The 27555-nt window shown below is 53.6% G+C and overlaps 1 protein-coding gene across 15 annotated transcripts in view, besides 11 other annotated features; it reads left to right on the top strand.

Annotated features, from left to right (window-relative positions):
* Positions 1449-1950: an enhancer, noted in NCBI's record as "H3K4me1 hESC enhancer chr1:32189409-32189910 (GRCh37/hg19 assembly coordinates)". NCBI's record gives its function as "activates a minimal SCP1, AML or CMV promoter by ChIP-STARR-seq in primed H9 embryonic stem cells {active_cell/tissue: H9 hESC(primed)}" and the evidence as "EXISTENCE:reporter gene assay evidence [ECO:0000049][PMID:30033119]".
* Positions 1703-1903: a silencer, noted in NCBI's record as "peak161 fragment used in MPRA reporter construct". NCBI's record gives its function as "represses an SCP1 promoter by STARR-seq MPRAs in K562 erythroleukemia cells {active_cell/tissue: K562}" and the evidence as "EXISTENCE:reporter gene assay evidence [ECO:0000049][PMID:32103011]".
* Positions 9243-9838: an enhancer, noted in NCBI's record as "H3K4me1 hESC enhancer chr1:32181521-32182116 (GRCh37/hg19 assembly coordinates)". NCBI's record gives its function as "activates a minimal SCP1, AML or CMV promoter by ChIP-STARR-seq in primed H9 embryonic stem cells {active_cell/tissue: H9 hESC(primed)}" and the evidence as "EXISTENCE:reporter gene assay evidence [ECO:0000049][PMID:30033119]".
* Positions 9839-10436: an enhancer, noted in NCBI's record as "H3K4me1 hESC enhancer chr1:32180923-32181520 (GRCh37/hg19 assembly coordinates)". NCBI's record gives its function as "activates a minimal SCP1, AML or CMV promoter by ChIP-STARR-seq in primed H9 embryonic stem cells {active_cell/tissue: H9 hESC(primed)}" and the evidence as "EXISTENCE:reporter gene assay evidence [ECO:0000049][PMID:30033119]".
* Positions 9839-10590: a biological region, named in NCBI's record as "Sharpr-MPRA regulatory region 11964".
* Positions 9907-10016: an enhancer, noted in NCBI's record as "active region_650". NCBI's record gives its function as "activates an Ori minimal core promoter by ATAC-STARR-seq in GM12878 lymphoblastoid cells {active_cell/tissue: GM12878}" and the evidence as "EXISTENCE:reporter gene assay evidence [ECO:0000049][PMID:35858748]".
* Positions 10296-10590: an enhancer, noted in NCBI's record as "tiled region #11964; HepG2 Activating DNase unmatched - State 1:Tss, and K562 Activating DNase matched - State 4:PromP". NCBI's record gives its function as "activates a minimal TATA promoter and a strong SV40 promoter by Sharpr-MPRA in HepG2 cells, with weaker activity in K562 cells {active_cell/tissue: HepG2 | K562}" and the evidence as "EXISTENCE:reporter gene assay evidence [ECO:0000049][PMID:27701403]".
* Positions 17781-17830: an enhancer, noted in NCBI's record as "active region_649". NCBI's record gives its function as "activates an Ori minimal core promoter by ATAC-STARR-seq in GM12878 lymphoblastoid cells {active_cell/tissue: GM12878}" and the evidence as "EXISTENCE:reporter gene assay evidence [ECO:0000049][PMID:35858748]".
* Positions 20271-20320: a silencer, noted in NCBI's record as "silent region_572". NCBI's record gives its function as "represses an Ori minimal core promoter by ATAC-STARR-seq in GM12878 lymphoblastoid cells {active_cell/tissue: GM12878}" and the evidence as "EXISTENCE:reporter gene assay evidence [ECO:0000049][PMID:35858748]".
* Positions 21741-27555, top strand: part of COL16A1 (collagen type XVI alpha 1 chain) — a 51755-nt gene continuing 45940 nt past the window's right edge. For 14 of the 15 annotated variants that reach the window (XR_001736983.2, XM_047446435.1, XM_047446431.1 and 11 more), the window contains exons 1-5: positions 21741-21921; positions 23531-23637; positions 25643-25717; positions 25828-25945; positions 27152-27275. Coding sequence is in view for 13 of the 15 variants with exons in the window: in XM_047446435.1 (XP_047302391.1) it covers positions 23565-23637; positions 25643-25717; positions 25828-25945; positions 27152-27275 (390 nt within the window). In the remaining 2 variants the exon portion in view is untranslated. Of the gene's footprint in view, positions 21922-23530; positions 23638-25642; positions 25718-25827; positions 25946-26866; positions 27009-27151; positions 27276-27555 lie in introns of those variants that run through there. The other variant, XM_047446439.1, reaches the window with a different exon arrangement.
* Positions 23630-24382: an enhancer, noted in NCBI's record as "H3K27ac-H3K4me1 hESC enhancer chr1:32166977-32167729 (GRCh37/hg19 assembly coordinates)". NCBI's record gives its function as "activates a minimal SCP1, AML or CMV promoter by ChIP-STARR-seq in primed H9 embryonic stem cells {active_cell/tissue: H9 hESC(primed)}" and the evidence as "EXISTENCE:reporter gene assay evidence [ECO:0000049][PMID:30033119]".
* Positions 25889-26642: an enhancer, noted in NCBI's record as "H3K27ac-H3K4me1 hESC enhancer chr1:32164717-32165470 (GRCh37/hg19 assembly coordinates)". NCBI's record gives its function as "activates a minimal SCP1, AML or CMV promoter by ChIP-STARR-seq in naive and primed H9 embryonic stem cells {active_cell/tissue: H9 hESC(naive and primed)}" and the evidence as "EXISTENCE:reporter gene assay evidence [ECO:0000049][PMID:30033119]".

The raw sequence follows: 27555 nt of genomic DNA, 5'->3' as shown, positions 1-27555 counted from the left end.
CCCAGCACTTAAGTGTACACAGAGTTCACTCAAGCACTACCTCATTTGATTCTTCAAGGTAGGTATTGTGACTGCCCCATTTTGGAGATGAGTAAATCGAGGCTTGGAGAGGGGACATGACTTTCCCAAGCTCCCACAGCTCAGCTTGTGACTGGGACTTGTGGCTGGGAGTGGCAGAATCCGATACCAGCCAGCTTAGGCACCTGGGAGCTTTGTTCACCCAGGAGCGCGCTGCCGCAAGGACAGCAGTGGGCAAGTGCGGCTGGCCTTCGTGATGGGACCCGGGATCAGGAGTGCCACCGCATGTTTCATCCTCTCCTGGCATTCTCTCGAATGTGTGTCGGCTTCATTCTTTAAGGCCTCTTCCCCCTGGGCCTGCCAGGCTTCCTCCTCCCAGCTCGATCACTCAGCATTGCCCCTAGAGGGGAAGAAACTTTCTCTCTTGAATTCCAATTAGAAAACCCCCAAGGAAGGAAGAGCTCTGGCTGGCCCCAGGAAGGAGGCTGGGGCACTGTGATTGGCAGTCCCATCAGGAACCATGGGGGAGAGGGAGAGGGAGGAGAGGGAGCAGGTCTCTGAGAAAGGGGGGCCTGTTCCTAAAAGGGGGTTTGCACAAACAAAGCCCGACCATGTACCAGCAGATCCTACTCCACATTCCTTCCTCTGACCATCACCTAAAGGCCCTCTTAATGCCTTGTCCTGTGCTCGCACCTCCCTCCTTCCTGGTCTTAGGCTCCGCTGGTCACCACCTCTGGGGCCCTCTGGGGCTGAGGTGTGATGTGCACGTCCCTGCCCTCCTGTCCATTCTTGCTTTGCATCTGGTTGAAGAGGAAGTTTAGTATTTACCTTGTTGATTCTGCTCAAACACAAACCACAGCTACCTGCAGAGGCCTCTGCTGGCTTTGAGACCAGCCACTTAGCTTTCCTGGGGTGGGGGCTTTGTCCCTCCCTTGCCCTCAGTCCCTGCTCCCCCAGGCACTGACTTGCTGCGTGACCTTGGACAGGCCACTGGACCCTGTCTGACATGGGTTTCCCTATCTGTAAAATGAGTTGGCTCGATCTCCCTTCCATTTGAGCTAATATCTAACAACCTGTCATTTCTTTCCTGGACTCAAATTTCTCACATCATTGCCCTCATTTTCTCTGCCTCCAGTCTCCAGCCCTTCATCCACATGGCCCAAGTGATCTTTCCAAAATGCAGATCTGGCCAGGCCACTGCTCAGATGCCTTCTGTGGATCCTGGAATTAGCCTAGAGTTCAAGGCCCTTGGTGATGTGGCCCTTGCCTCCCTCCTCTGGCCCATCTCTCTGACCTCCATGCCTGTGCATGCACCACTCCTTCTGCCTGAAACTCCCTCCTCCTCACAGAGGGGAAACTCTCCTTCAGCCTTCCAGACCCAGCCCAAGTAGCCCCCTGTGTGATGCTGTCCCTGAACTCCCTGGCCCAGCAGTCAGCACTCGCTGGGCCCCCACAGGCCTTGGCATGCACTGTCACTACTGCACTGATCACACAGAACTGCTGTCATCTGTGTTGGCCTTGCTGTGGTTTGTGCACTCAGAGGCCCACATGAAGCAGGCATCAGTGAATCTTTAGCGGGTGAAGGGTGGAATACACAAATCTCCCTGAACATTGATTTCCTCATCTGCAAAATTGGGATAATGACAACTCCTACCCAGTCTTCCTCACTGGATATCCGGAGCATGACTTAAGATGATTCATGGGAAGCATTTTATAGGTGTTAATCTACTCCTCCCACAGTTATTCCTTCCTCAACCCCAAGTGGGAAGCCAGCCCTGGCTGCTGTCCAGGGTGCTGAAAGGGACTTGTCTTCACCCAAAGGATGAGGAGACAAGACTGAGAGGCCCGCCCGCACAAGCTCAGCTGCAGCCTTTTCTTGCTTTCCAGACTGGCAGGGTCAAGGATGAGCAGACCATCCCTACCTTCATGAGAACAGACCCTGGGAGATGTCTAATAAAAATACAATGTAAACGACATATGTAATTTAGAATTTTCTAGTAACCATTCTTTAAAAGTTTGAAAAGGTGAAATTCATTTTAATAATATATCTCATTCAATATATTAAAAAACGATCATTTCAACATATAATCAATATAAAAAATGACTGAGATATTTAACATTCTTTTTTTATACGGAGTCTTGGAAATCTCGTGTGTGTTTTATACATACAGTGCTACAGTGCATCTCAAGTCAGTCTCACCACCTTCTGACTGCTCAGTACTCCCGTGAGGCTACCATGTCGGACAGCACAGCTCTAGGCAGAACAAAGGCAGTGACCTTGAGCAAGTGAACTCAGTGCCCTCTGTGAAAAGGAGGTACTTCCGCACAGCCTGCCTCATGGGGCCATGGAGAGGGCTTGAGGAGGTGATGGAGGGAAAGTTGCCAGCACAGTGCCCGCACAAGGGAGGTCCAAAGCCAGGGTTCCTGGGCTCCACATATCCTGGGGATACTGGTGGGTAGGGAGGAGGTGTTGGGGAAGTAGGGGAAGGTCCTGAGGAGACCTGTGGACTGGTATCAGGCCTCCCTCAGCAGCACTAGGGGAAGGGGTCACCCTTACCCTCACCCTTACCCTTACCCCTGCAGCCCTAGACTCTGGGAGAAGGGAAGCAAGTTGAGGCTAGACTGGAACAGACACGTTAAAACTTAATTGGGCTTAAATCACTTCCATTAGGCACCAATTAAAAGGAAATTAGGTGGCCTGAGGGAGGACCTGGGTGCGGGATGCTGCTGACTTCTGCTTCTCAGGACTCATTTCCCTTCAGGCTTCTTCATGCCCACCCTGGCACCTCATGGGGTCCCCCAGTTGGGGCTTTTCTAATCCAGTCCCCAGTACCCATCATATTCCTCCCTCCACTCCTCCAAGGCCACTGACTCTGGGAAGACTTCCACCCTCTCAGGCCCTCAAAACACATGCTAAGTGTCTAAGGCAGAGGAGACTCCACTGAGGGTTTTGGCCTTTAAGGAGAGTGGGAAGCTAAGGAAGAGTGTTGAGCAGAGTACTGGCATGATCAGATTTCTATATCAACACGATTTCTCTTGAGTGGATGGAAAATGGATTGGTGGGGGCAGGGACACTGAAGAGTGAGGGTGGAGAGAGAGACCAGCAAGGAGATGATCTGCATGAAGGAGACTTTAGAGGGTGCTATGGAGGAGGAATGGAGTTTCTATATATGTAGTGGGTAGAATTGTCAGCACTCAGCTCCTGGTGTGGATTGGGTATCAGAGAGGAGCCAAGGATGACACCTGGGCTTCTGTCTTACACACCTGGATGGATGACCGTGTCATTGGCATAGAGGTACAGGAAGAGGACCAGCTTTGGGGGAGACAGTCATTAATTTGGCCTTGGGCATTGTCTTAGTCCATTTTGTGCTGCTATAACAATACCTGAGACTGGGTCATTTATAAAGAACAGAGATTCATTCATTGCAGTTCTGGAGGCTGGGAAGTCCAAGGTTGTGGGGCTGTCATCTGGCAAGGTCTTTTTTGCTGCATCATCTTATGGCAGAAGGCAGAAGGGTGAGAGAGAGAGCAAGAGATTGAATTCAAAGACTCAAGCTCTTTTATAATCAGTGTTAATCCATTCATGAGGGCGGTGCCCTCATGATCTAAACACACACCCCCCATTGACCCCATCTCCCAACACTGTTGCACTGGGGATTAAGTTTCCAACACATGCTTTTTGGGGGACACATTCAAACCATAGCAGGCATGTCAACTTTGAGATGGTCAAGGGGAGATGTCAAGTGGAAAGTAGGTAGTTGAACACACAGGGCTGGAACTCAGAATGAGGGGCTGGGCTGGAGTCATTACTATGGGAGGAACCAGCACTGAGGTGGGTTGTAGAGTAGGGTGGGAGGTGAATAAATCAAGGGACTAGAGACAGTTCTTAAAGTGGAGCTTTGAAAAGAGGGAGACTCCCTTTGTTCAGGACAGGTGAAAAAAAAGAGAAAAGAGGGAGAGAAAGCTCAGGGCTTACTGTAGTCTCTGAAGGTGAGTTAGCTGGAGAGGATGATGGGAGATTTCCATGAACAGAGAGGCTGTCCCTACCTCCTCTCCAAGATCCTACATAATGATCAGAAATAACCAGCCCTACCGCCTTGGGAGGCCGGGTCCTGAGACCCAGTAATGGTTATCATCACAGAGATTGATTCTGCTCATTTGTTGCACTTCAGGTTAGCCACAGTTCCTGGAGGTGGGAATGGGGTTGGGGGGACACTCAACAAGGCCTGGACTCCAAGACCTTCGGGACGGATGGGACTCTGGACTCCATGGGGAAGGTGGAGAAGCAGGCACGGTGCTCCGGGCTCCCTGAAGCCCTCACTTCTACTCCTCCTGAGCAGGTGGAAGCAAAGGTGAGCCCCTCCTCTCCAGGCCTCAGCTTCCCTATGGACCTGCTCCAGGCTGTTATGTGCCTATCCCCTGTGGTGGCATGGCAAAGCCTCAGCCATCAATCCAAGTGTCCCTAGAGTCAACCAAGAAAGTCAATATTTAATTTGGGCACCATGTTAATGCCATCGATCGCCAGCTCCCTCCTCCTTCCTCAGGCTCATTTGTCACTTCCCACTCACTGGGGGTGGGGTGGGGTGCAGCCTAGTAGAGGCAGAGCTCAGCCTGGACTTGGCCTGGGAAAACTGGCCTGCATGTGGAGGTGCTCCCCTCAACCACCCAGCTTCCAATCCCCTGAGAATCACTGAGCTGCTTTGTCTGAGTTTCCTAAGTGCCATCCCTGGGGAGGTCAGTGAAGTGGGGAGGGGAGGTCAACTTTTCTCCCAGGCCCCCACATTGAGTCTAATTCCCTTCTGGGGCCATACATAGAGCAGGTGTGGTTGGGGGTTGACTGAGTGAAGGAGGGCTAGCACCTGTGACATAGGCCACTGGGAGAGAAGTGAGAGCAAATTTGAGACTCGGCTTCTGGATCCTTCCTGGGTGCCCAGTTCTGTGTCTGTGTGATGCTGTGGAAGTCACATGGGGGACCTGAGATGTGGTCCATCTCTAGGACCCAGAGAGGAGGCTGAGGGAGCATTGAGCTTAGAGGTTTAGGGCTCAGCTGGGTAGCGAAAGAGGGGCTGGGGTAAGGGCAGACCCCATTTAAAGGCTTGGCTGGGTCCAACTTCCAGTTTGTTCTCATCAGTTCTGTGGATCCAGATAGGGGCCCCTCAGCATTCTTCCCCAGCCCGGCTCACCCAGGGAGGGAATGCCTCCAGTCTGCTTCAGGGGCCAGGCTTGGGTCCCAACTGCAACTCCATCTCCAACTTGCTGAGTGACCTTGGACAAGTTAAGTAACCTCTCTGAGCCTTAGATACCTCCTCTGAGAGACCTCTTGGACCTTGGTCACTTGGTACTGTTTTTAGAGGGTCAGGGATGGGCAGGAGCAAGCTTGATGGTCCAAGGAGGGTTATTTCCCAGAGTTCTCACAATGAGCAGCTCCCAAAACCTGCTGACAGTGCTACTGCCTTCTTCCTACCTGTAGGGCTGCTTGCTGTCAATTAGGCCTGGGCCACAACGGCACCCTTGGTCCTCCTCGTTATCCAGAGTGCAGAAGCCAAGACCATGTCATTGAGGGGATGGTTGGGCAAGCCCTGCCATCTAGCACTGGGTGATCAATGGGCGGACTGAGTTCAGTTTAGGATGCCAGCAAGACAGTAACAACACGTGCACACACAGATAAGCAGAAAGAAATTCTGAGGCCAGGTGCGGTGGCTCATGCCTGTAATCCCAGCATGTTGGGAGGCCGAGGCGGTCGGATCACCTGAGGTCAGGAGTTTGAGACCAGCCTGGCCAATATGGTGAAACCCCGTCTCTACTAAAAATACAAAAATTAGCTGGGTGTGGTGGCGGGTGCCTGTAATCCCAGCTACTTGGGAGGCTGAGGCAGAAGAATCGCTTGAACCCAGGAGGCGGAGATCACGTCATTGCACTCTAGCCTGGGCAATAAGAGCAAAACTCCATCTCAAAAAAACAAACCAAAAAAAAAAAAAAAAAAGAAGAAGAAGAAGTTCTGCTTCCATGAACTAATCCAGAATTTTGCAATTGAAAATCCAAAAGGAAGTGGTTTTCATTCCAGCATGTGCATAAAGAAGTATGCTTCATGGATTAGTATTATTTCTATTGTGAATGATGTATGGGAGTGCCAGACTCTTCCCAATGGATGGCATGTAAATGTCTTAATCTGGCCCTGTTGACCTACTCTGAGCCATTGAATCAAGCCTTGAGCCAGGAGAACTTGATTGGTCATTTATTTATCAGTAAATGGTGTCTGATGTCAACCCCATGCTGGGCCTTGGGATGGGCACTGACAACGTAAAGATGAGGAAGGCATAGTCTCTAAGAAGGCTCCCAAGATGGAGGAGCTGGGGGAAGGGATGGATACTGTTTCCAGGGGCTTCCCATTGCTCTTTGACTAAAACAAAGGCTCTCACTGTGGCACAGGAGGCTCGGCATGCTCTGGTCCCTGCCCATTGCTCTGTCCAAATGTCCTGCCACTTGCTGTCACTGTCTGAGCAGCTCCATGGCCTCCTCTCTGCTCCTCAAACACATTTCATGGATTCTCCCTTCCCAGGGCCTTTGTGTTTGCTGTGCCCTCAATTTGAAAGTCTCTTCCCTGGCTGTCTGCTGTGCTGGCTCTTGTCTTTTGATGAGATGCCACCTCCTCAGAAATGCCTTCCTTGACTACCCCTTTCTCCCACCAAGTCATTTTTTAAAAATCACATCACCTAATCCTTTCCACAGTATCATTTCTCCTGATCTGAGTTTATATCACTTGTTTCCTATTTATTGTCTGTCTCCCCCACTGGACTATGAGCCCCTGAGGGCAGAACAGGGTCATACATTCATACTGTTGCTGGGACAGGATAGGAACTGCATAGATATTGCTGAATGAATGAATGAGGAGACATTGGGAGGGGGCTGTCCAGGAAGCAATTAGAGCTGAAGGTCTAGTTCTCAGTGCCCTGCCGCAGGCAGACTGTCTGTGTCTGTGCCTGTGGTGGGGTGGGGAGGGCTTTGCCTGTGCAGGCCTGGGAAGGGGAGAGCCCCATAGGACACCAGCCTCAGGGCATGCATATTGCAGAAGGCTCCTTCCTTGAATATTAACTCACTGCCAGACTGGCATCCCTGACTGCTGCTGAATTTTTCACTGTCAGGGCCAGTGGTTGATGGGGGATGGGGGTTGGGAGGACAGCACATCCACGTCCAGAGGGCCACATGCACTTTTGTGTGACATTGTCACGTGCAGCTGTCTGGGCAAGGGCTTGCTCCCAGGTGGCCATGCATGGATGCTATGGGCAGCTCTGTGTCTGAGCATGTTCTGCCCTTAGCTGGCCTGCCGTGCACACAGGTGAGTTGTGTTTTACATGCTCTCATTTCCAGGCTCAACTGAGGGAAGAAAGGGCCCTTAGAGAACATTCAGTTCCACTCCTCCCGTTGTGCAGAAAGGAAATCTGAGGCTCAGAAGGGAGAGGTTGCTCGAGGTCACACCATGAGTCCTTGGAGGATCAAGGCTAAAGCCCAGTGAACAGTGAGCATTTATTGAGAGCCTGTGGTGTACCTGGCACCATGTTGGGCATGGGGAACTCACTCTACTAGAGAAGCCCACAGTCCAGGAAACCAGGCTTGGGGAAGAAGGAGACAGACATGGGCCTGAGCATTAGGCTGCAGAGCAGGAGAAGTTTCCTCTGCCTTCAGAAGAGGGTGTCAGGGAAGACAAGGAAACACTTGCACTGAGCTCTGAAGACTAATTGAAAGCTCAGCAGGCAGAGAAAGGGGAAAGGGCACTCCAGGCAGAGGGTGCCTCATAAGCAAAGGCACGAGGCATGAAACAACTTGGCAAGTTTGGGGAATTGCAAATAGTGCAGTTCAGCTGGAGAGGATGGGCTGCGGATACGGGGCGGTGAGATCACAGTGGCTTTGTGGGATATCATCGGGGTTTGGATTTTATTCTGAGGGCCAGAGGGGAACCACGGAAGCAGACTTGGGTTTTAGAAGGATTTCTGTAGCTACGGAGGAAAAGCGAATTCAACCGATACATTTTGAGCAGTCAATATATGCCAGGTACCACGCTGGGTGCTGAGGATACAATTCTGAATGAGGCACATACAGTCTCAGCTCTGCAGCGTATTAAGAGACACACAGACAGGTGTAGTAGGGAGGAAGCTTGGCACACAAACAAGAAATACCCTGTTTCTGTATTCACTTTAAACCAACTCCAGTCTGACTCACTCTAAACGCTTTCCTATGAGTTGGCAAAAAATTTAATCTCAACCATCACTGAAGGCTCCCTCCCACCTTTCCCACTGGCGAGTGCAAGGAGCTGCTGGCCCTCCCTGCACATGGGCACAGAAGAGGTGCCTCCTGTCTTCAGTCTACATTGGTCACACAGAGATGTCCATTGTCCTAGTAGTCCATATGGTCCCTTGAGGCTCAGTGACTAAGCTGTTCCCCTGCTACTTTGGAGCACTGAAGCTGGTTCCCAAGTGTTTGCACTCCAGCCACCCCAGGTGCGTTACCACACATCCCCACAGCTCCTGTCACCTGTCAAGGGAGCTATCAGCTGTCAAGGGAGCTAGACACAGGTCCCTACCACCCAAAGGACCCCCAGCTTCTGCACCCTCTGCAGCTAGCTTCTGCCTCTCAATTCTCTGTCCTCTTCTCCCCATCCCTTGGGAACACATGGCACGCCTGCTTCCAGAAGTTTAGCTCTTTCCAAACTCAGGACAAGCCATCAGACTTCAAGCAGCTTTTTGCGTTTGGCCCTGCACAGTTCCCTGAGGCTAGAAAAATCAAAGGGCTTGGCTACCAGCTTGCAAGTGGGAGGGGAAACTACAGGAGAACAAAGCAATTAATATCTCAATCAATTGTCCTGCCACGGGAGTGAATAAGTCATTAGAGACCCAGGCAGTGACTGCTCTGAGAGAGGCAGGCACATACTGGGGGTGGTGGGAGGTCAGACAAGGGGCACCTAACTAAGACCTGGGGTTCAGGAAAGGCCTCCCAAGAAGTGGAGTCTCTGCCAGACTAAGCCCTGAAGACAGCAAGGATGAGGCCAGGGAGGGCGTTCCTGGAAAAGGGATGAGGAGCTGACAGTTCTCCTGTATGGGTGGAACACAGAAAGCCCCAGAGAGGGACTGGGGCTGAGGGAGGTGGAGCTGGATGGTGAAGAGCTCAAGTCCCAAGTCAAGGTTTGGAGTCTATTTGGACCATAAGATGCTATTGAATGATTCTAATCAAGAAAGTGACACAACCAGATTCCTGTTTAGAAACACCGCATGGCGGCTGGGCGCAGTGGCTCACGCCTGTAATCCCAGCACTTTGGGAGGCCGAGGCGGGTGGATCATGAGGTCAGGAGATTGAGACCATCCTGGCTAACACGGTGAAACCCCGTCTCTACTAAATGTACAAAAAATTAGCCGGGTGTGGTGGCGGGCGCCTGTAGTCCCAGCTACTCGGAAGGCTGAGGCAGGAGAATGGCGTGAGCCCGGGAGGCGGAGCTTGCAGTGAGCCGAGATCGCGCCACAGCACTCCTGCCTGGGCCACAGAGCAAGACTCTGCCTCAAAAAAAAAAGAAAAGAAAAAAAGAAACACCACATGGCTATGAAAAATGGATGGGGGAGAGGGTAAAACTGGTGGCAGGAAGAGCAGTTGTCAGGTGTTCCAGGGACTGGAACCGGCAGAGGCAGCTCCCAGGGATAACTGCAAGGAAGAAGGGAAGGGGATAGGACCTGGAGATGGGGGGAAGAAGGGAAGATAGATGTTAGAATGACTCCCCTTTCTATCTGGGGCGAATCCCCGAGATGGAGCGGACTGGGCAGGATGGTGGTGGGTAGGCGCCAGTGGGACCTCCAAGGAGAAAAAGGAGCCCAGGCGCGGTGGAACCCTTTCCGCACCCCACCTCTGCACTCCGCGATTCCCAAGCTTCCCGCTAGGTGGAGGGCTGGTGCCCTGGAGACCGGGCTCCGCCTCCCATCCTCCGCCCCTCATCCCAGAAGGATGGACCTTGACTTGGGCCTCCCCAAACCCCGCGTCCCTGTACTCGCCACCAGAGCTCATGTGTCTTGAGCCATCAGCTGCCCCCACTCCAGGGCTCCGTGGCAGAGGCATCGTCCTAGACACTTCTGCCCAGGCGCCTCCCTGGGCCTTTCTGTGCCCACGTATACAGGGCTGTTTCTATGCTCGGGGCGGCCTCGGCCACTCCAGCCTCGCAGACTGCCGGGTCCCCGCAGCTACGTCCTGCAGCCTGGAGGCTTCCCGTTCGCGGCGCCAGGAACGTTCCCTCACCCGCCACCCTCGACGCCCTTCTATTCCCTGACCCCACGCGGGAGGAGGGCTCCATGCCTCTCAGAGGCAGGCTACCCCTCATCTAGGCCTCTCTGGACCTTGGGACAGGTTCTAAGGTTGGCCAGGGCTGGGCGGAGCCAGATAGGAGGCAGGGCCTAGGGCGGAGTCAGGGAAGGCACCCGGCCATGAGTGTGGTCCAAAGGCAGACCAGTGGCGTGGCCAGAGTGGGCTGGAGGCGTGGCTGTCGGCGGGGTGGGGTCGGGATCCCCAGAACCTGGCAGCTTCCTCTCCTCTCCCACCCTAGCCAGTTCTGTCGCCCAAAGCCCCGCCCGCCCTGGCCCCTGGTCCAATGGGCAGACACAGCGACCATCGGGAGGCTCCTGGTCCCACTTAACAGAGGTCGTTATTTGGGAGGCCGCGCCCAGTTCTCTGGAACTGCCAGGCCTTGTGGGGAAGGGGGGCGCATTCTCTGGGCCTGCGCCGCACACCCTGACACCCACCCTCCATGTGCTTCCACCCTTTTCCAAGTAGACAGCTGGAGGGCCTGGGGCTTGAGCCCCGAGCTGGAGGAGCTGGTCAGGCGCCTGCGCCCCCCACGAGGCCCCCCTTCCCTTCAGTCTGCGCTCAGGCCCAGAGCCGGCTCTAAAAATAGACCGGGGCGCAGGAACGTGCCCACCCAGGAGCGGGTCAAGGAGGCCTGAGTCACCGTGTCGGGAGAGCCTTCTTCTTCTCCTCCCCGCCCCCCCACCACCTCCCACCTCGGGGGCTGAGGACGCCTCGATGGCCCGGCATCACTCCGGCTCTGCTGGCCCGACTCTGCGCCCTTGGCAGGGCGGTGCCGGCGGGGCAAGCGGTAGCAGCCACAGCCGGGAAGGATTAGGAGTTCCTGGGCCTGATTTATTTGGTTGTTTTCGTGCGTCTGGCGGCGGCGCCCCCGCCTGGCAGGACAGTCACGTCTGCATTGCTCTTCTCTCCCACCCAAGCTCATGGGTCTGTCCTAGACTTCAGGGTGGGGACCTGGGCTCGCAGCAACACAAAGTCCCGACCTGGATATTAGCGGTTCTGGAGCAAACACTGCTATTCCATAGATGAGAAAACCGAGTTCCAAAGAGAGGAAGAGGCCCATGGCACAGTAGAGTGCCCTGTGACAGCTCTGGATTTCACTCCACTTCCTAGGGCCTGTTTCCTACTGTAGGTGCTCCACCCGAGGATGACACCCAGGTTTATGGCCCATTCCCCTGTCAATTGGGAATGAGACATACTTGGGATTGTCCTAATGATTGAAATAATTTTTTTTTTTGAGACAGAGTCTCACTCGGTCTCCCAGGCTGGAGTGCAACAGCGCAATCTCAGCTCACTGCAACCTCCACCTCCTGGGTTCAAGCGATTCTCCTGCCTCAGCCTCCCAAATAGCTGGGATTACAGGTGCCCACCAACAGGCCCAGCTAATTTTTTTTTGTATTTAGTAGAGACGGGGTTTCACCATGTTGGTCAGGCTGGTCTCGAACTCCTGACCCCAGGTGATCCATCTGCCTCCTCAAAGTGTTGGGATTACAGACATGAGCCACCACACCCGGCCAAAATATTTTTTAAAAAGCAGTCGTGGCATATTGGGAGTCACACACACCTGGCTTCAGTCCCGCTCAGCAAGTTACCATCTCCAACACCTATTTTTCTCTCCTTCCAGAGGAGGATTAATGGGTGTGGTGTGGTGGGCTCCTCTTCCTGGAAGGACTTAGCTAAGGTGGTATGGGGAATGGTCACAGGGTACTTGGATGGATCTGGAACACCTGGTAAACTGAGGCGTGTATGAGGCCTGAATTGGGGGTGAGCGGGAGGGTGGTACCCTGGCCCTCACACAGGTCTGGCTCACTTCACCCCACTCCCATTCCCCTTCCCCATCTCAAGGAGGGGACATATTTGGCTCATTACAGGCTTAAGACCCTCAGACTTGGGAGGAATGGAGTGGGCTCAAGAGTCTCCAAGTTCAGCCTTCCCTAGTTTCCCAAAGGCAAGAAGCCTCCTAAAGCCAAACAATGCATCAAGGCAGACCTCGGCCTTGAACCTAGGCCCCCAGTCTGCCAATCCCCCAGTCCCAGGCTCTTTCTCCCACTCTCCCATCACCTGTCCTCTTTCGTTCGAACACACCAGTGTCAGGCCTTTTCTGAATGGTCAAGGCTGACAAACAAATACTCCAGTTGGTTTTCGGTCTTTACATATTATCATTTAGGCCACTTCACGGAAAAAGGTCTTATGTCTGTCAGAAATGTCACTGAGCTCTTAAAGCTACATGAAACCAGCTATGTAAATAATAAAATGGGGGATCAGGAGGAAATGTCAGAGATGAACATGGGTGTAAGATGCAGGACAAGAGTCTGCTCAAATAAAAATAAGGTACATAAGAATGAGCATTGTTGAATGTTTACTATGGGCTTGGCGTAGTCTCATGCATTATCTCATTGAATCCTCACAATTCCATGTGGTTAGTGTTATTACTATCACCCCCCTTCTACAGATATGGAAAGTATGCCTCACAGAGGTGAAGGAATTTGCCTAAGATAATAAAGCCAGGAAGTAGCAGAGCCAGGATCACACCCTTTCTTGATCTCTGATTTATTTTCTGCTTTGGTGAAACAGTTGGGGTTTCTCCCTGAACTTTCCCTTCCCCTGCTCACTCCCTTAGCCTTCTTTCTAGCCAGGTCACCAGGCCTCTCCTGCCCAGCCCCAGCCCAGGCACTGCTGGGAGGAGGAGGAGCTGGGCAGCTGCCAGAGCTTCTCTCCACCCAGAGATTCCAGGATTCGAAGAATTTATGAGACCAACTGTCTGAGTTTCTTGCATGCGAAGAAAGAATCTGGGAGTCCTTCAATACTCCCCTCATCACCAAGCATCCGCCAGGAGACTCCTTGGTTTGTACTTCATGGAGGGGAGTTTGTCCTCAGAAGGCGCTCGACCCCCTCTTTCATTCATGCAGCAACTATTTTTAAAACACCTAGTCTCTGTCACAGGCTCTAGGGAGAAATGGTAACAAAAGCAGCTCCTTTTGTGACTTCTGGTTTAGCAGGACACAAAGACGTTCAAGCAAATCAATGGCTAATAATTGATGATCCTCCTCCCTCCTCCAAGCTTCTGCCAAGATCTACCCGCCCTGGGGCCTGTTTCCAATTTCCTTCCCCACCTCCAAGTGGGAAGGAAAGTGAACATAGCCTCAAAGCTAAACATTGAGGGGAGGGAAGCCCGCCAAGGGACTGCGTGTGTTGTGGTGGTGAAGATTACATACTCTCTTTGTGGTGGCAATGAGGGTTACACACTCTCATTGTACATCTAGAATAGCTGGTGTTCATTGAGTTCCAGGAACCAAGCTCAGCACTTTAAATGTCCTGTCACAGGTAACCCTCACAGCATCCTTGTGAGGTAGGGACAATTCTGTTTCACCAACGAGAAAACTGAGGCTTACTCCAGGAAGATGGGGTAGTTTGTCAAAAGTCACACAGCTAGTAAGTGGTACAGGCAGGATTTGAACCCAGTTACCCTGGAACTAGAGTCCCCTTGCCCCTTCCTTTAGCCACTATGCTGAGGTCTTATTTGCATTTTTTTTTTTTTTTTTGGAAACAGGATCTCGCTTTGTTGCCCAGGCTGGAATGCAGTGGCATAGTCACAGCTCACTGCAGTTTTAACCTCCTGGGCTCAAGAGATCCTCCTGCCTCAGCCTCCTGAGTAGCTGAGACTACAGGCATGGACTGCCACACCCAGCTAATTTTTAAAAATTTTTTGTAGAGACAAGGGTCTCACTATGTTGCCCAAGCTGGTCTCAAACTCCTATGTTCAAGTGATCCTCCTGCTTGGGCCTCCCAAAGTGCTGGGATTATAGGCATGAACAACTATACCTGGCTCTTATTTGATTATTACAGGTGAAGAAAGTAAGGCTCAGAGGAGCTTAGGGTTTAGCTCAAGGTCACACAGCACAGCAGGATTGAGTTGTGTTGGTTGGTGGCCAAAGGGATGTTTGGATAAGGTGTGGTGGTGGCAAGCTATGCCATTCTTACCCCAAAAGGCTAGGGTCATTAGGTGTGGGATTGGGTCTGGAGGAAGTCTGGGGGCCACACCAGTCTGGGGGTTCTCACTGCTGACTATGTGCCACCCTCACCTCTGCTCCAGGAGAACCTGTGCTATGGGGCAGGAGTCCCTGGGAATACCTAGGCAGACGTGAGCAACATCCCACTGTCCCGCCTGGGCTTATGTCATTTGGCATCTTGTGCCTTGCTCTTACTAGGCCTGGAGAGATATCTGATAGGCAGGAGAAGAGGCTGTTTTAGTTCTCTGCTCACTGGGAGCTTCTTCTGTTTGGAAAGGGGGAGCATTGCCTGGGTTGGGAATCCTAACGCTGGTGAGCACTTCTGAGAGTTTACTAGGTGCCAGCATCCCGTGAGGGGCTTTCTCTTTGTCACTATCTCCCTTAATCCTTCCAGCAACCCTACGTGATAGGCACTGCTGTTATCTCTGCTTGCAGAGGAAGAGGTTAAGTGATATCCCCAAGTCATAGACTCAGTAAGGGCTGGATTTGAACCCACATGCAGATAATCAAACATCATACTCTCCCGCAGGGGTTCTCAAATGTGGTCCCTGGGTCCACAACATCAGCATCACCTGGGAACTTGTTAGGAATGCAAACTACTGAATCAGAAACTCTGAGAGTGGGGCCTGCCAACCTGTGTTTAACAAGTCCTCCAAGCTTGAGAACGCCTACCCTCCTGCTTTACAGAACTTGGGGGACTGCAGGTGACCTGAGTAAACTCATGGGCCCTGGTGTTAGGCAGAGTCAAGTTCCAATCTCTGGCCCACCTGACTTTCCAGCTTTAAACCTTTTTTTTTTTTTTTTTTTTTTTTTTGAGATGGAGTCTCGCTCTGTTGCCCAGGCAGGAGTGCAGTGGCGTGATCTCAGCTCACTGCAACCTCCACCTCCCGGGTTCAAGTGATTCTTCTACCTCAGCCTCCCAAGCAGCTGGGATCACAGGTGCGCGCCACCATGCCGGGCTAATTTTTAGTAGAGATAGGGTTTCGCCATGTTAGCCAGGCTGGTCTCCAACTCCTGACCTCAAGTGATCCACCTACCTCCACCTCCCAGAGTGCTGGGATTACAGGCATGAGCCATTGCACCCGGCCCAGAACAGGATTTCTCTCCTTCAGCACTACTGACATTTGGGGCCAGATAATTCGGATTGTGAGGGGCTGTCCTGGGCACTGTAGGATGGTAGGCACATCATTGGCCCCTGTCCTCCAGATGCCAGTGGCAACCCCTCCCCCATTATGACAATCAGAAATGTCTCCAAACATTGCTAAATGTCCCCTGGGAGCAAAGTTGCCCCCTGTGGAGAACCACTGGGGTAGAATAATTAGGCCAGTTTCTTTCATTTTTTTTTTTTTTTTTTTTTTTAGACAGAGTTTCACTCTTGTTGCCCAGGCTGGACTGCAATGGTGCAATCTCAGCTCACTGCAACCTCAACCTCCTGGGTTCAAACGATTCTCCTGCCTCAGCCTCCCGAGTAGCTGGGACTACAGGGGTGCACCACCACACCCAGCTAATTTTTGCATTTTTAGTAGAGACGGGGTTTCACTATGTTGGCCAGGCTGGTCTCGAACTCCTGACCTTGTGATCCACCTGCCTCGGCCTCTCAAAGTGCTGAGATTACAGGCATGAGCCACCGCACCTGGCCTAGGCCTGTTTCTTTTAGATGCCATAACACACCAGGCTAGGTAGCTTAAACTGGGATTGTATGACACATGGGGACCAGGGTCCAGGGCCACACAGTGGCTAGAGGTAAGACTGGAATCCAGGTCTTTTGTGCCTGCCACAACTCTCTGTGAGTCATTCAAAACAGGTGGGCAGAGTCCAGGGGCAGCCAAGCTGGGGCCCAGGATACCTGGAGTGTCTGGTATCCCGTGTCCACCTTCCCTGGCCATTGCCACATCCACAGCAGTGTCCATCAGGATCTGGGCTCACCTCTCTTGCAGCTCTGGGGTAGTCAAACCAAGCAGGTGTCTGGTAACATGAGCTGCTTGAAGTAAGATGCCCTGGCTGGGCCTGGTGGCTGGGGAAGGTTGCCAGGACCCAGGTCTCAGTGAGGAGTTTGCCACGGCCCCGTAGGGGAGATGGGGCATTATCGGAGAGGAGCACTGGCCTTCCCACTATGACCATAAAGCTGCCAGTCAGAAGTGAAAGATGGGTCTCCCTGCCACAGGGACGCAGACAGCCGTGAAGACGTGGTGGCCGAGCTGATTTAGGACAAGAGGGAGGAAGAATGAAAGACAGAGAGGCAGAGATCTAGAGCCAGCAAGATGGAGACCAGACCCAGAAACAGAGACGAGCAGATGGAGAATGAATGAGACACACACGGAGAGACAGAGACAGGGTGAGGAGAGACAGAGACAGGGTGAAGAGAGATACAAATGCGCAGAGAGATAGTGACGGGGAAGACAGAGACAAACAGAGACAGAAGACAGGAACGTAAAGATGCGGAAAGTGTGAGAAAAAGAGACCAGAGACACAGAGACATAGAGACGCCAAGTTAGATACACAGGATCCCAAACACAGAGGAAAACAGAGGGACCTACGAAAGAGAGAGCTGGAGACGGGGACAGACTTGCTGAGAAGGAAGAAAGAGCCACAGAGATTTCACACAGACAGAGGACAGAGACAGTGAGAGACACACTCAGAGAAACCAAAGCAGCCAGAGAGAGCCCTGATCCTCTGGTCTCAGTCTCTCCTCTGTGACCCCGAAGCTGCAACTGTGTCTGCATATGAGAGCGCACGTGCATACTCATGTGTGCTTATGCCATACCTCCTGCGGTGCAAGGCTGTGTCTGTGTGCTTGGACACTGCTTGCATGCATTTAGCCACTCATTCAATAGTGGGTGCCTGCAGGATGCCAGGCTCAGCTGAAGGACGGTATTAACGGTGGACAGGGACGCTCATGGAGCTTTCGTGCTTATTAGTGGAGAAAGACAACAAACAAACAAATACCAGAGCTATGTAGAGATTTAAAACAGGGTCGGGCTGGGCACAGTGACTCACGCCTGTAATATCAGCTCTTTGGGAGACGGAGGCAGAAGGATCACTTGAGGCCAGGAATTCAAGACCAGCCTAGGCAACATAGCAAGACCCTGCCTCTACAAAAACATTTTTAAAATAGCCAGGAGTGGTGGCGCCAGCCTGTAGTCCTGGCTACTCAGGAGGCTGAGGAGGGAGGATCACCTGAACCCAGGAATTCAAGGCTGCAGTGAGCTATGATCACACCACTGCACTCCAGCCTGGGTGACAGAATGAGACCCTGTCTCAAAAAAAAACAAACAAACTAAACCAACCAACCAACCAAACAAACCCCAAAACAGGATCATGTGATGGGGAGCAACTAGGGGCTCCTCATATCTAGTGGTCAGGGAAGGCCACTCTGAGGAGTTGACTTAGGAGGTGAGACCTGGATATCAAAAAGCCAGCCTGGCAAAGACGAGGGGCAAATCCTCGCCAGCAGAGGGAAGAGTTGGTGCACAAGGGCTGAGGGGAAAGTGAACTTAGTGAATTCAGGGCTGAGAAAGGAAGTGAGTGGGTGGCTACAGCTTTTGCGGTGAGGTGGCTGGACAGGAAGACAGAGGCGAGATCATGAAGGACTTGGCAAGGCCAAGGGAAAGATTTGGGGCTTTATTCTAGGAAGACGGATGCAACAGAGTGAAGCCAGCTGATATGGGTTTGAAAAGGTCTTACTGGCCAGGCATAGTGGCTCACGCCTGTAATCCCAGCTCTTTGGGAGGCCAAGGTGAGTGGATTACCTGAGGTCAGGAGTTCAGGACCAGCCTGGCCAACATGGTGAAACCCTGTCTCTACTAAAAAATACAAAAATTAGCCGGGCATAGTGGTGGGGACCTGTAATCCCAGCTACCTGGGAGGCTGACAGGAGAATTGCTTGAACCCAGGAGGCAGAGGTTGCAGTGAGCCAAGATTGCGCCATTGCACTCCAGCCTGGGTGACAAGAGCGAAACTCTGTGAAAAAAGAAAGAAAGAAAAAGAGAGAAAGAAAGAAAGAAAGAAAAGAAAAGAAAAGAAAAGAAAAGAAAAGAAAAGAAAAGAAAAGAAAAGGTATTACTGGCTGCCAGGTGGGAAGAAAGAAAGAAAAGAAAAAAGAAAAGAAAAGAAAAGGTCTTACTGGCCACCAGGTGGGAAGTAAGTGGGTGGTGGGGCCCCAAGGCAGCAGGCAGATCAGCTGGGGGCTCTTGCAACAGCCCAGCAGAAGATGATCATGGTCTGGGTGAGGGTTGCAGCTGTGGAGGTGGGGAGGAGTGGATGGACGTGGGCTGTATTTGGGGGGTAGAACTGACAGGATTGGATGGGGGTGGTAGGGAAAAGAAAGGAGCCAAGGTTTTCAGGTTTTTACCTGAGCATCAGAATGAATTATCGTGGCATTTAAAGGGATGAGGAAGTCAGGAAGGGCATATCTGTGAAGAGTAATCAATCATGTGTGATGTGTCTGCGTGTGAGCCCGTATGCGCATATGCCAGGGCCCAGGTGTGCACGTGTACATGTGGGGGTTCTGGTCCACTGTTCAAGCCTCAGAACTTTACACCATCTCTGCTTGAACGCGTGGGGGCTCCCGGACCTGTCCTGGGACCAGGCCCTGGGTTGGCTCTTCAACCTGCCCCAGCCCCAGGGGCTGCCCCTGCCAGACAGGGATTCCCCAGTGGGGGGCGGAGGGCCCTTGGGCACTGCCAACATCTGGGCATACTACCCCAGGTCCAGAAGGCCTTGGTAGCCCCATGCAGCAGCAGCATGCAGGCTCCAGGGCAGCTGGTGGTGATTAGCAGCATTGATTACCTCGTGGTGATGCCATCTGGGGTGAGGGCGCTGAGCCCAGCCTCACGGGATACCCGGGTTGCTGGCGTGCAGGGCTTTCTGGCACTGACTGCATGTAAAAGTGTCAGCACAGCTGCATGTATGCATGTGTGTACATGTGTCAGTGTGTGCATGTCCCAGTGGCTGTTTCTCTGGGAGCCGAGTCTGTGTGGCCATCTATGTCTGTGTGCACACATGTATGTGCTGCAGGTCTGCAGGCTTCTCTGCTTGCATATCTGAGTAATTATGCCTGTGGTCACATGTATGTTTATGTGCACACATGTCTATGTGTACAGGCATGTGTCTGTGTGTGCACATTCGAGTATATACAGTGCTGTATGCAGGCATTCTGAGAATTATGTACCTGTGTTTGGATATGTCCAGGGATATATTTCTGTGGGGTAATCTGGGCTCTTACATGTGTTTCTGTGTATCTTTGATGTGGAGGCGTATCTTGAGTCTCTACACATCTGTGTGTAACTGTTTCTAGGGCCAGGGTGTGTCTGTGTGAACATGAGTGCCTATACATGCATATGGAGTCTGCGTACTCAAGTGCTGTGCTAGAACTTTACCTGACTGCGTGTTTCTGGATGTGTGCACGTATGTGTGGAAGGGAGGAAGGGGCATGGGCACATTCCTAGACTGTCTATGATAGTGTTTCTAGGCGTAAGGTGTGTCCCAGGCTTGGCTGTTCCTGTGAGCACCCTTGGGGTGCTGTGGGAAGGCATCTGGCTCTCCCTTCTCAGGTTCCTCCATCCCTGGCCCAGCCACCTGCCCTGTCTGGGGCACGGGTGGGAGCTGTCAGGATGGCATGGTGGTTAAGAGCACGTGCTGAGTCTAGGCTGGCTGGACATGAGTTCTGCTCCACCACTGACTAGCTGTGGGATCCCGGGCAAGTTGTGTTTTTCCTGTGCTGCAGGTTTGGGAATAAAAATGGAATTCTGCCTTAAGGCGTTGTTGTAAAGATCGAAGGAGTTAGCATATGTGAAGTTCTCAGCACAGAGCCTGACCTATATGCGCTTCCCACCTCTCCCGAGTGCCCACTGCTGGGGCAGCACCCTCTGGTAGGGCAGGCGGGGCCTGTGCCCACCCACCCCGCAGGCCAGAGTGCTCAGAAGGCCCCACCCCCTCCGCTTCCCGCCTGCTGAGCTCAGCACTTCCCAGGCCCCACCACTGCCACAGCCACATCTGGGGCCAGCTCCTCACTGGGACCACAGTGGGGCGCCTCTGTGGCGTGGTTGGGGTTTCCGCTGACTCAGCGCCTCTGGGTCTGGAGGCGGGAAATCCCAGGCCTGCCCCTACAACCTCCCCCTACCCCGGGTTAGCCGAGGCCACAGGGCTAGGCGCGTTGCTTCCACAGAGCCCCCAGAGCCCCCCTCAACTGGGGACGCTCAGTTTCTCCCTCTTCAGCCCAGCATCTCATGGCCTCTTGAACCTACTTTGTGGATCCTCAGCCTTGGTGCCAATAAATTTGCTTTCGGTCTACAGCGGGAGGAGACCCTTGGTGGGGATTCCACCTTGGTCAACGGCCCTGCCTCTGGGCAGAACTCGGAACATTACCGGCTCCTTCCTCCTCAGAGCTCCAATCTTTCAGCCCAGCTCAATTCCTCTTGCGTCCTTGGACCGTGAATATAAAGCAGGTCCCTCCCCAGTGCTGGTGTAAAGGCTTGAAATCCAGTCCCGTCCCCTGCCAGGGATCACAGTAATAACGATAATAGCAGCAAATATTTACTGAGCTCCTCTCATGTGCCAGACCGTGTGCTAAGCGCTTACAGCCTTTGGCCCATTTCCTGCTTACAGCAAAGGTCTATGAGGCATATACTCTCACGATCCCATCTTCCAGATGAGAAAACGGAGTATGGTTACACAGCACATTTGGAACCGCAAAGCCAGAGCAGGGGCCAGGGATTTGAGCCCTTCCAACCTCATGGAGTAAGGAGGAATAAGGGGACTCCCTCAGTCTCACTTCTCTGGGAGTCAGGCCAGAGCAGAGGGGGTTAATTTAGCACGGAGGAGGGAGGGGGTTCCCACCCTCCTCCTCCCAGTACAGACAGACCTAGGGACAGACTGACTGGGAATGTTAGGCAGAGGAATTGGAAAAAGCTGACCACCGAGGCTTGGGCGGCAGCCACATCATGGGTGCCACGCACTTGGGAGGAGGGTCTCTACCCTGCTCCCTCCACCCCTGTCCCCTCCCCGCCCCCCCACCCCGCAGCCTTCTGGGGGCCCAGCCAGGGACATGGAAAGGGGGAGCTCTTCAAACTCCAGGCCTGACTCTTAAAGGGCCCGCAGGAGCCCCCTTCCAGGGCAGCTCTGGGCACGTAGGGTCCCGCCTAGCTCGAGGATCGCTCACCTGGCGGTGAGGCAGGAGGGGCGGGCCTGGGAGCTCGGCCAGACCCGGGGCGGGGCTGTGCACCCCGCAGTCTAGCCGCCTCTGGTGCCGCTGGAGCCCCCTCTAGGCCCTCCTCCTCCTCCTCCCTGGCGGGCCGGTCCAGCTGTGTTCCATTAGTGTCCCTGGCAGGCCCCCAGCCCCCTGGAACCGCCTCTCTTCCCCCACCCGGAGTGGCCGGCAGTCCCCGGCAGGCGTGCGCCGGGCAGCAGACAGCCGGGAGAGCTCGAGCGCCAGGAAGCTGGGGACCCGTGACCGTCACGGAGAGATAGAGAACCCCTAGCGGACCTGAGGAACCTGGGCTCTGCTTCCTCCGCCTGCTGCCTGGACTGCTCAGTGAGGTGGGGGGATCCCCGGCCACCGGTAAGTAGGGATACAGTGGGCGGCCTCAGGGCTCTGGGCTGAGAGGCCCTTTCTGCCAGACTTGCTGTGTGACCTGAGGAAAGTGGCATTCCCTCTCTGGGCCTTGGTCGTCTTCTCTAGAGCGAGATGAGCTCTAAACTCCATCCTGGTTCTGACTCCCTGCGCCCAAATCTATGCCTCTGTGTTGGGGTGAGCCGTCTCCTTGGAAGCTTCTCTGGCTCTGTCCTTGCAGCCCTGCACTCTGGCTGGAGCCTGAGGAGTGGCGACCAGAGACTAGGAGCCGGAAGGGGACAGGATCACATCCATCCTCACGCCTCCACATGCACCCACATGGCGCCACAGCTGGCAGCCCTTCTATTGGCTGGCAGGAGGAAGACCAGGATAGGGTTTGAGAGCTGGGATGTGTATATCACTAGGATGGGGGATGAATAGGCAGGCTGGGGGCACAGTTCTGTCCCAGGGAGAAGGGGGCTGGAGTCCTATCTCCAAATATATTGGGGTAAGGGGTCCTTTCTGTTTTCATTTCCTATCCATGATTGAGGGAAGGAAAATTGGATTTCATTAGAGTTGGAAGGAATGCAGTCAGACTTGCATTAGAACTTCCCAACAGGAAGACCTACAGGAGGAGTGGTCATAGGCTGGCTGTGCGCATGTGGGTATATGCAAGCTGGTGTGTCTGGGTATATCAGCGAGCATATGTTTCCGTGAGCATGCCTGTGTGCAGATAGCTTTGTATGCACACTGGTACCACATATGTGTCCTTATGTACATGTACCTGCGCATCTGCATGTGCTGTGCTGACACATGCATGGCTCTGTGTTTGTGCACGTGAGCTGCCTGTCCTGGGGGAGGCCAGACGATGTATGGCTCTGCTGGCCACTTGCTGAGCCTGCATCGATTTATCTGGGCCCATCCATCAGGGTTTAATAAAACTAAAAGACAAGCATCCATCAGCTGGGGGCGGGGGTGGCTGGCAATGAGGTCCTGAGCCCTAGAGACCTGCTCTCCTGCCCACTATACCTATGGGGAAAGCTTCCTTGGCCCCCACACAGCCCTATGGAAGGCTGTGGCCCACAATCTCAGCCCAGTCACCAGCCCCTGACCCTGTGGGTGCCTGGGAGGGCTTCCTGGGCTGAGCTGGGTGCGCTAGTAAGGTATCAGGCTGGTATATATACCAGGACAGTGCACAAGATGCTAGACTTGAAATACTTCCACGTGTCTTGAAGAATAGCCTCTTCTTTAAGCCCTCATCACTATTCCAACTTCTCTGGCCTTCTAAGACCTTCTAGACCTCTCCCAATCCAGCAAGTATCCACTGGCACAGCCAGATGCTGCCTGGACACTATTTCAGTGCAGTAGGCAGCTTTCTGCTTTGCCTGAAAGCTGGTATCCGTGCCATACCGGTGGTTAAATATTTTGAATATCGCCTCTGCTCAAATCCTAGCCCAAGGGCTGTGGTTGGGCCTCTGAGAGAGACTGATGCCTGGCCAGACCTCCTGCCACCCCAATACCAGTGCCTGGGCCCCACAGGCTGTCCACGACTTGCCCACGTGTGGAGTTGTGCTGTGTGAACTCAGAAATCCGCCTTCCCGGTCTCTGTGGTTTTCAGGTGCTGTGGCTGTAGCTGACCTCTTTGGACCGGGATGTGGGTATCCTGGGCTCCTGGCCTGTGGCTGCTCGGTCTTTGGGCTACCTTCGGCCATGGGGCAAATACAGGTGAGATGACACAGGAGAGTCACAGTATCACAGGCCTGCAACTGGTATCCTGGGGTGCTGGGGTCCTTGCACATATGTGACCATGTATGTGTGGTCGTGTGGGCAGTTATAGCAGAGTCTAGGGGCTGGGCTCAGGGTGATCTGAGGTGTTGGCACCCTTGAGCCTGTGTGCAGTGAGCTGGAGAGTGTGTGTGCCTGTGTCTTCGTACGTTTATGTCTCTGAGCATCTCTGTGTTTGTCTCTCAGACTGGCTTTGTGCATTCGTATGTATTCCTGTGTCTCTGTGTGTAAGAGAACAACCTCCCACCCCAATACGTAAGCCAATCCTGTGGACACATTGCTGGTAGGACCAGTGGGGTGGGGAGGAACAGGCAGTGAGCTCTCCCTGCAGAAGGACGCCGCCTCCCCAGAGAACCCCAAGTCCTGCTGATCCTTTTCATGGTGGAGACTCCATCCCTCTAGCTCACGTGCTTCTCCTCCTCCACGGCTGGCCCTGAATCTCTAATAAAAGGCCCACCCCGAGGCCCAGACTCTGGATGAGACAGAGGGTGCAGCTTTCCAGGGCCCAAAGCCAGGGGAAGTTGACCGGGCAACTTGCCTGGCCTTGCTGGGTGCCCTCTGGGCTCAGTAGCTCAGCTGCTTCGCCAAGCAGGAACAGAACTCCTAGGACCCAAACCCAGCTAGGAAAAGCAGAAAAACCAAGAAGCTGAGGTGAAAGGGATTGTGGACCCAGGGTGAGTGTGGCCGCCTGCCCCTTGTATGTGCACATATGTGTTTCTGCTTGTGTGTGCGTGAGCTTTGCTCTCCTCTCCCTCACTGGGTCCCCTGGGGGGGATGGGGCAGATAATTTCAACATCTGTAAGGAATCTGGGCCCATTGCCAAGGGGTGAGTCACCCATTGCTGCTGTGATGCTGAAGACAGTGATGGTCTTTCTGACCAGACCTGGGGGAGGGAGAGTGCAGTGGGGTCATTGGCACCGGGCCCCAGGGCCCCAGGATTCCTTCTTCCAGCCAGTCTAGCCAGAGAGTGCAAGGCCAGCTTCTAGGAGCTGTCTTCACCGTCTTCTCCCACCTATCCCTCTGCATTGATGAGAAGGCCTTTTTGATTCTGGCCTCTGTCTTTCCTGTTGTAGCACCTCCCCCAACACTTCTGCTCAGTCAGCCCCAGGGCGAGGGAGGCCCATGGCTGCCCACCTGTTCTTTCAGGGCTTTGGAAACCTGAGTTAAGCTATCTCCTTCTCTGGGAGCCCTAACCCATTAATATGCCCTTCCTGGAGCTCCAAGGCCCTGGTGGTACCCTTGAGCTTGTGGTCCCCTCAGACCCTCAGTCTCTTCTCGCTGTTTCACAAGGTGGTTATTCAGGTAAATATTCATTCTGTTGGCTCCTACTTGTGTCTGGCCTGCTTGTCTGATTTGGATGTAGGACGTTCCTATTGCTGAGAACACGTGTGCCAGCTGCACATGTCATCCCTCGTGGCATGGGCACCTACAACTCCCACATGTACAGACACGTACATATAATTGTACATAACACACAATGTGCATGATTCTGACATTTCCTTACCCCTGAAGAGCTCCTCTGCCCCCCACCTGGGTGTATGTCATGGAGGGGGCACATGTGTAAATACACAGCTCCCCACTCCATCTGTGCTCGAGAGCCACCTAGAGCTTCGTGTATTCTCTCCCTTGCTGGCCTAGCTCCTGACTTGGAGTGCTGGGAGATTTGGGTTCCTGGAGTTCTGGGCCTGCTCTGCTGTTGGCTCACTTAGTGACCTTGGCCTGGGCCTCAGTCTCTGGACCTCAGTCTTCCAAACTGTATGCTGGGTTGGGGGCCTCCAGGCTTCCTGGGGAGCCAGGGTCAGAAGGCAGGTGGTGAAGGCAGGATCTAGCTGATGGTCCAGAGTGAGGACTATAAACTTGCTCCCTCCCAGGTTCCCCAGGCGTCCAGCCGTGCAGCAACCTTGGCCTGAGCGCACCTAATGCCCCCCTGCCCCTTCTCTTCTAGGTGCACAATGCCCACCTTCACAGCAGGAAGGACTCAAATTGGAACACAGTAGTAGCCTGCCAGCCAACGTGACTGGTGAGCACCCAACCATCTCATCGCGCCGTCCCTGCAACCTTCCTCTGGGAGTGATCTGTACCCCTCTCCACCTGCTCAGCTGAGCTCTTCACCTGATGTCTCCCCCAAAGGCTTCAACCTCATCCACCGACTCAGCCTCATGAAGACGTCTGCCATCAAGAAGATCCGCAACCCCAAGGGGCCTCTCATCCTGCGCCTGGGGGCGGCCCCCGTGACCCAGCCCACGCGGTAAATGCATCCATGTGACCACTGAGAATCAACACTGACCTCAGCCACACTCCTCAGCAACTCCAGATGTGGGGCTTAAGCCCAGGGGCCTGTCTGTGGGTCATTGCATCCCAGCCCCTGCCAGGAGTCAACCTGGTCTCCACCCCTGGGCTTGCAGGGTGGGCTGAGAGGTGGTACCTGGCAGACCTACCTTCTGTCTTTCCCCTGTCTCTGGCCAGCAGTGGGTGGGAACAGGTCTGCATCCTGTGGGCACTGTGAGAACACAGGATGTGGGCGGGAACCTGGCAAGAGTCATGTGCGTGTGTGCATGTGTGTGTGTGCGCACATGCGTGTGTGTGCACCCATGTGTGTGAAGTCCAAATTCCCACAAGCCCTGGCCTGGCCCCTGCTTGCCTCTTCAACCTCAGCTCTCAAAATGCTCTTTTTTATCTCTTGCTGCTCTGGTCATGCTGAACCCTTTCCATCTTTTTTTCAGTATCTCTCCTTCCACCCTTGCTCCAGTTATTCACCTAGGGTATTCTGGGTTCATTGGAAGCACTTATTCAAATTGCAATGCGATAGCGAAATAGTCATTCTGGGGATTCTTTGCTCATGGCCTCCCTGCCCCCATCAGACGTGAAGGCTCCATGAAGGCAGGCAGTGCCTCTGTATTTTCACCACTGTGTATGTGGGTTTTTTGTTTGTTTGTTTGTTTGGTTGGTTGGTTGGTTTTCTTTTTGAGACCAAGTCTTGCTCTGTTGCCCAGGCTGGAGTGCAGTGGCGTGATCTTGGCTCACTGCAACCTCCACCTCCTGGGTTCAAGCAATTCTCCTGCCTCAGCCTCCCGGGTAGCTGGGATTACAGGCGCCTGCCACTACACCTGGCGAATTTTTTGTATTTTTAGTAGAGACGGTGTTTCACCATGCTGCCCAGGCTGGTCTCCAACTCCTGGCCTCAGGTGATCCGCCCACCTCGGCCTCCCAAAGTGCTGGGATTACAGGCATGAGCCACCGCACCCAGCCTTCACCACTGTTATTCCCAGCAGCCAGACCCGCACCTAGCTCGCGGAAGGCACTCAGTAAAGGTATGGAGAGTGAATGAATGTATATGATGGAAGATGTGTGCCTGTGGATGTCTTGGGTAGGCTCAGCAGTCCTGAGGGCTCAGGGTGGGCAGCATTTGGGTCCTCATTGGAGCCTCAGGGCACCCTCCCTGCTCCATCTCCAGAAGAGTATTCCCTCGGGGTCTCCCGGAGGAGTTTGCCCTGGTGCTGACACTACTGCTGAAGAAACACACCCACCAGAAGACGTGGTATCTGTTTCAAGTGACCGATGCAAATGGGTATCCACAGGTGAACCTCCCCTGTGCCCTGATTGCCTCTTAGGGCATTGGGTAGCACCAGTCCAGCCCACCTTTCATCCCGGCTTGTGACTTCTGGGGTCTCCCTGCTCCATCCTGTGCCTACCCTCAAGCCTGTCCCCAGCCCACCAGTACCTACCTCATTCTTTCAGGATGTATAGCTCCTTGACCCCAGCCGGCTTTCTTCTCTTTCTGGGCCTCAGTTCCCCTCCTGTGAAATGAGTTCAAGGTCCCTGAACGTGCCCATGGTGTGACTCTGGAGCTCTGAATCT

The sequence above is a fragment of the Homo sapiens genome, chromosome 1, assembly GCF_000001405.40.
Source record: "Homo sapiens chromosome 1, GRCh38.p14 Primary Assembly".
Classification (NCBI taxonomy): Eukaryota; Metazoa; Chordata; class Mammalia; order Primates; family Hominidae; genus Homo; species Homo sapiens.
The sequence above is the reverse complement of the archived record's forward strand: the minus strand, read 5'-3'. Positions and strand labels throughout refer to the sequence as shown.